Source organism: Homo sapiens, chromosome 14 (assembly GCF_000001405.40).
Source record: "Homo sapiens chromosome 14, GRCh38.p14 Primary Assembly".
NCBI lineage: Eukaryota > Metazoa > Chordata > Mammalia > Primates > Hominidae > Homo > Homo sapiens.
In genome coordinates, this window is record NC_000014.9 from 20,228,981 (window position 1) to 20,235,729 (window position 6,749).

The 6,749-nt window shown below is 40.1% G+C and overlaps 1 pseudogene across 1 annotated transcript; it reads left to right on the forward strand.

Annotated features, from left to right (window-relative positions):
• On the forward strand, positions 1-1,769 carry OR11H7 (olfactory receptor family 11 subfamily H member 7 (gene/pseudogene); annotated as a pseudogene). Its single transcript, NR_145509.1, has one exon. The product of NR_145509.1 is annotated as an olfactory receptor family 11 subfamily H member 7 (gene/pseudogene), transcript variant 1, non-coding (transcript).
• Positions 1,770-6,749: the final 4,980 nt, after the last annotated feature.

Consider the following 6,749-nt stretch of genomic DNA (forward strand, 5'->3'; position numbering starts at 1 on the left):
CTCAAAGCTGTAAAAAGTCTCAGACTTGAATATATTAAAAATGATGGCATATGTCTTCATAATTTGAAGTGAACAGCAATAAGTAATTGCTATATATGAACATCTTTCACTGAAAAACAAATTAGATATAAAACAAACCATTTTTGCCTCTATTTCAAGAATTTCTTTATATCAAAAGAAGATGAAATGTTGATTTTTGTCCATTGCCACAGAAAATTCAAACAACCTGAAGTTTACAAGAATCAGACCCACAGGACTCATTTGAGAAAGATAAACCAGGTGTGCTTAAGAATTCTTTTAGAATATCCAATATATTCACCTGCAAGAGTCAAACTCCTTATCCCAAAAAAAGCTTCAAGATGCTTCATCAGCAAAGCAAATTGTCATTGACCATCGGTGTTCTCTCCACAGTCTGGGAAGCATGAATAACTCACAGATATCTACTGTGACGCAGTTTGTGTTGTTGGGGTTTCCTGGTCCCTGGAAAATTCAGATCATCTTTTTCTCAATGATTTTGTTGGTCTACATCTTCACTCTGACTGGGAATATGGCCATCATCTGTGCAGTGAGGTGGGACCATCGACTCCATACCCCTATGTACGTGCTCCTAGCCAACTTCTCCTTCCTAGAGATCTGGTATGTGACCTGCACAGTCCCCAACATGCTGGTAAATTTTTTCTCCAAAACTAAGACCATATCATTCTCTGGATGTTTCACTCAGTTCCACTTCTTCTTTTCCCTGGGCACAACTGAATGCTTCTTCCTCTGTGTCATGGCTTATGATCGGTACCTGGCCATCTGCCACCCACTGCACTATCCCTCCATTATGACTGGCCAGCTCTGTGGCATCTTGGTGTCTCTTTGTTGGCTCATTGGTTTCCTTGGACATTCAATTTCCATTTTCTTCATTTTTCAACTACCTTTCTGTGGTCCCAACATCATTGATCATTTTCTGTGTGATGTAGACCCACTGATGGCATTGTCCTCTGCCCCTACTCACATCATAGGGCATGTGTTCCATTCTGTGAGCTCTCTTTTCATCAACCTCACCATGGTGTACATCCTTGGGTCCTATACCTTGGTGCTCAGAACTGTGCTTTAGGTTCCTTCTTCAGCTGGATGGCAAAAGGCCATCTCTACCTGTGGGTCACACTTGGTTGTTGTGTCTCTGTTCTATGGAGCCATAATGCTGATGTATGTGAGTCCCACACCTGGCAACTCAGTTGCTATGCATAAGCTCATCACACTGATATATTCTGTGGTAACACCTGTCTTAAACCCCCTCATCTACAGCCTACGCAACAAGGACATGAAATATGCCCTCCATCATGTCTTCTGTGGAATGAGAATTATCCAGAGATCATGAATAGGGTTTTTTATAACCCAATGACTCTTAATGCGATTGGAAGAATAATCCTCTTCTTTTAACACTAACTGACTTGATTTTATTCATGGTCATCGCCATCCTTTTGTACAAGCAAAACTCTTCATGTATCTGATCATATTTTGACGAGCTTCTAGTTTCAGAAATGTGCTCCATGGGAGCAGGTTGGCCCCAATATATGGTAAAAATAACACATAAAAATCTTAATATCTTCATCCATGTCCCTACAAAGGACATGAAGCCATCATTTTTATGGCTGCATAGTATTCCATGGTGTATATATGCCACATTTTCTTAATCCAGTCTATCATTGTTGGACATTTGGGTTGGTTCTAAGTCTTTGCTATCGTGAATAATGCCGCAATAAACATACGTGTGCATGTCTCTTTATAGCAGCATGATTTATAATCCTTTGGGTATATACCCAGTAATGGGGTGGCTGGGTCAAATGGTAATTCCAGTTCTAGATCCCTGAGGAATCGCCACACTGACTTCTACAATGGTTGAACTAGTTTACAGTCCCACCAACAGTGTAAAAGTGTTCCTATTTCTCCACATCCTCTCCAGCACCTGTTGTTTCTTGACTTTTTAATGATTGCCATTCTAACTGGTGTGAGATGGGATCTCATTTTGGTTTTGATTTGCATTTCTCTGATGGCCAGTGATGATGAGCATTTTTTCATGTGTCTTTTGGCTGCATAAATGTCTTCTTTTGAGAAGTGTCTGTTCATGTCCTTCACCCACTTTTTGATGGGGTTGTTTGTTTTTTTCTTGTAAATTTGTTTAAGTTCATTGTAGATTCTGGATATTAGCCCTTTGTCAGATGAGTAGGTTGCGAAAATTTTCTCCCATTTTGTAGGTTGCCTGTTCATTCTGAGGGTAGTTTCTTCTGCTGTGCAGGAGCTCTTTAGTTTAATTAGATCCCATTTGTCAATTTTGTCTTTTGTTGCCATTGCTTTTGGTGTTTTAGACATGAAGTCCTTGCCCATGCCTATGTCCTGAATGGTAATGCCTAGGTTTTCTTCTAGGGTTTTTATGGTTTTAGGTCTAACGTTTAAGTCTTTAATCCATCTTGAATTTATTTTTGTATAAGATGTAAGGAAGGGATCCAGTTTCAGCTTTCTCCATATGGCTACCCAGTTTTCCCAGCACCATTTATTAAATAGGGAATCCTTTCCCCATTGCTTGTTTTTCTCAGGTTTGTCAAAGATCAGATAGTTGTAGATATGCGGCGTTATTTCTGAGGGCTCTGTTCTGTTCCATTGATCTATATCCCTGTTTTGGTACCAGTACCATGCTGTTTTGGTTACTGTAGGCTTGTAGTATAGTTTGAGGTCAGGTAGTGTGATGCCTCCAGCTTTGTTCTTTTAGCTTAGGATTGACTTGGCAATGTGGGCTCTTTTTTGGTTCCACGTGAACTTTAAAGTAGTTTTTTCCAATTCTGTGAAGAAAGTCATTGGTATCTTGATGGGGATGGCATTGAATCTGTAAATTACCTTGGGCAGTATGGCCATTTTCACGATATTGATTCTTCCTATCCATAAGCATGGAATGTTCTTCCATTTGTTTCTATCCTCTTTTGTTTCATTGAGCAGTGGTTTCTTGTTCTCCTTGAAGAGGTCCTTCACGTCCCTTGTAAGGTGGATTCCTAGGTATTTTATTCTCTTAGCAGCAATTGTGAATGAGAGTTCACTCATGATTTGGCTCTCTGTTTGTCTGTTGTTGGTGTATAAGAATACTTGTGATTTTTGTACATTGATTTTGTATCCTGAGACTTTGCTGAAGTTGCTTATCAGCTTAAGGAGATTTTGGGCTGAGACAATGGGGTTTTCTAGATATACAGTCATGTTGTCTGCAAACAGGGACAATTTGACTTCCTCTTTTCCTAATTGAATACCCTTTATTTCCTTCTCCTGTGTAATTGCCCTGGCCAGAACTTTCAACACTATGTTAAACAGGAGTGGCGACAGAGGGCATCCCTGTCTTGTGCCAGTTTTCAAAGGGAATGCTTCCAGTTTTTGTCCATTCAGTATGATATTGGCTGTGGTTTTGTCATAGATAGCTCTTATTATTTTGAAATACGTCCCATCAATACCTAATTTATTGAGAGTTTTTAGCATGAAGTGTTGTTGAATTTTGTCAAAGGCTTTTTCTGCATCTATTGAGATAATCATGTGGTTTTTGTCTTTGGTTCTGTTTATATGCTGGATTACATTTATTGATTTGCATATATTGAACCAGCCTTGCATCCCAGAGATGAAGCCCACTTGATCATGGTGGATAAGCTTTTTGATGTGCTGCTGGATTTGTTTTGCCAGTATTTTATTGAGGATTTTTGCATCAATGTTCATCAAGGATATTGGTCTAAAATTCTCTTTTTTTGTTGTGTCTCTCCCTGGCTTTGGTATCAGAATGATGCTGGCCTCATAAAATGAGTTAGGGAGGATTCCCTCTTTTTCTATTGATTGGAATAGTTTCAGAAGGAATGGTACCAGTTCCTCCTTGTACCTCTGGTAGAATTCAGCTGTGAATCCATCTGGTCCTGGACTCTTTTTGGTTGGTAAGCTATTGATTATTGCCACAATTTCAGCTCCTGTTATTGGTCTATTCAGAGATTCAACTTCTTCCTGGTTTAGTCTTGGAAGAGTGTATGTGTCCAGGAATTTATCCATTTCTTCTAGATTTTCTAGCTTATTTGCGTAGAGGTGTTTGTAGTATTCTCTGATGGTAGTTTGTACTTCTGTGGGATCGGCGGTGATATCCCCTTTATCATTTTTTATTGCGTCTATTTGATTCTTCTCTCTTTTTTTCTTTATTAGTCTTGCTAGCGGTCTATCAATTTTGTTGATCCTTTCAAAAAACCAGCTCCTGGATTCATTAATTTTTTGAAGAGTTTTTTGTGTCTCTATTTCCTTCAGTTCTGCTCTGATTTTAGTTATTTCTTGCCTTCTGCTAGCTTTTGAATGTGTTTGCTCTTGCTTTTCTAGTTCTTTTAATTGTGATGTTAGGGTGTCAATTTTGGATCTTTCCTCCTTTTTCTTGTGGGCATTTAGTGCTGTAAATTTCCCTCTACACACTGCTTTGAATGCGTCCCAGAGATTCTGGTATGTTGTGTCTTTGTTCTCGTTGGTTTCAAAGAACATCTTTATTTCTGCCTTCATTTCGTTATGTACCCAGTAGTCATTCAGGAGCAGGTTGTTCAGTTTCCGTGTAGTTGAGCAGTTTTGAGTGAGATTCTTAATCCTGAGTTCTAGTTTGATTGCACTGTGGTCTGAGAGATAGTTTGTTATAATTTCTGTTCTTTTACATTTGCTGAGGAGAGCTTTATTTCCAAGTATGTGGTCAATTTTGGAATAGGTGTGGTGTGGTGCTGAAAAAAATGTATATTCTGTTGATTTGGGGTGGAGAGTTCTGTAGATGTCTATTAGGTCCGCTTGGTGCAGAGCTGAGTTCAATTCCTGGGTATCCTTGTTGACTTTCTGTCTCATTGATCTGTCTAATGTTGACAGTGGGGTGTTAAAGTCTCCCATTATTAATGTGTGGGAGTCTAAGTCTCTTTGTAGGTCACTCAGGACTTGCTTTATGAATCTTGGTGCTCCTGTATTGGGTGCATATATATTTAGGATAGTTAGCTCTTCTTGTTGAATTGATCCCTTTACCATTATGTAATGGCCTTCTTTGTCTCTTTTGATCTTTGTTGGTTTAAAGTCTGTTTTATCAGAGACTAGGATTGCAACCCCTGCCTTTTTTTGTTTTCCATTTGCTTGGTAGATCTTCCTCCATTCTTTTATTTTGAGCCTATGTGTGACTCTGCACGTGAGATGGGTTTCCTGAATACAGCACACTGATAGGTCTTGACTCTTTATCCAATTTGCCAGTCTGTGTCTTTTAATTGGAGCATTTAGTCCATTGACATTTAAAGTTAACATTGTTATGTGTGAATTTGATCCTGTCATTATGATGTTAGCTGGTTATTTTGCTCGTTAGTTGATGCAGTTTCTTCCTAGTCTCGATGGTCTTTACATTTTGGCATGATTTTGCAGCGGCTGGTACCAGTTGTTCCTTTCCATGTTTAGTGCTTCCTTCAGGAGCTCTTGTAAGGCAGGCCTGGTGGTGACAAAATCTCTCAGCATTTGCTTGTCTGTAAAGTATTTTATTTCTCCTTCACTCATGAAGCTTAGTTTGGCTGGATATGAAATTCTGGGTTGAAAATTATTTTCTTTAAGAATGTTGAATATTGGCCCCAACTCTCTTCTGCTTGTAGGGTTTCTGCCGAGAGATCTGCTGTTAGTCTGATGGGCTTCCCTTTGAGGGTAACCCGACCTTTCTCTCTGGCTGCCCTTAACATTTTTTCCTTCATTTCAACTTTGGTGAATCTGACAATTATGTGTCTTGGGGTTGCTCTTCTCGAGGAGTATCTTTGTGGTGTTCTCTGTATTTCCTGAATCTGAACGTTGGCCTGCCTTGCTAGATTGGGGAAGTTCTCCTGGATAATATCCTGCAGAGTGTTTTCCAACTTGGTTCCATTCTCCCCATCACTTTCAGGTACACCAATCAGACATAGATTTGGTCTTTTCACATAGTCCCATATTTCTTGGAGGCTTTGCTCATTTCTTTTTATTCTTTTTTCTCTAAACTTCCCTTCTCGCTTCATTTCATTCATTTCATCTTCCATCACTGATACCCTTTCTTCCAGTTGATCACATCGGCTCCTGAGGCTTCTGCATTCTTCACGTAGTTCTCGAGCCTTGGTTTTCAGCTCCATCAGCTCCTTTAAGCACTTCTCTGTATTGGTTATTCTAGTTATACATTCTTCTAAATTTTTTTCAAAGGTTTCAACTTCTTTGCCTTTGGTTTGAATGTCCTCCCGTAGCTCAGAGTAATTTGATCATCTGAAGCCTTCTTCTCTCAGCTCGTCAAAGTCATTCTCCATCCAGCTTTGTTCCGTTGCTGGTGAGGAACTGCATTCCTTTGGAGGAGGAGAGGCACTCTGCTTTTTAGAGTTTCCAGTTTTTCCATTCTGTTTTTTCCCCATCTTTGTGGTTTTATCTACTTTTGGTCTTTGATGATGGTGATGTACAGATGGGTTTTTGGTGTGGATGTCCTTTCTGTTTGTTTTCCTTCTAACAGAGAGGAACCTCAGCTGCAGGTCTGTTGGAATACCCTGCCGTGTGAGGTGTCAGTGTGCCCCTGCTGGGAGGTGCCTCCCAGTTAGGCTGCTCAGGGGTCAGGGGTCAGGGGTCAGGGACCCACTTAAAGAGGCAGTCTGCCCGTTCTCAGATCTCCAGCTCCGTGCTGGGAGAGCCACTGCTCTCTTCAAAGCTGTCAGACAGGGACATTTAAGTCTGCCGAGGTTACTGCTGTC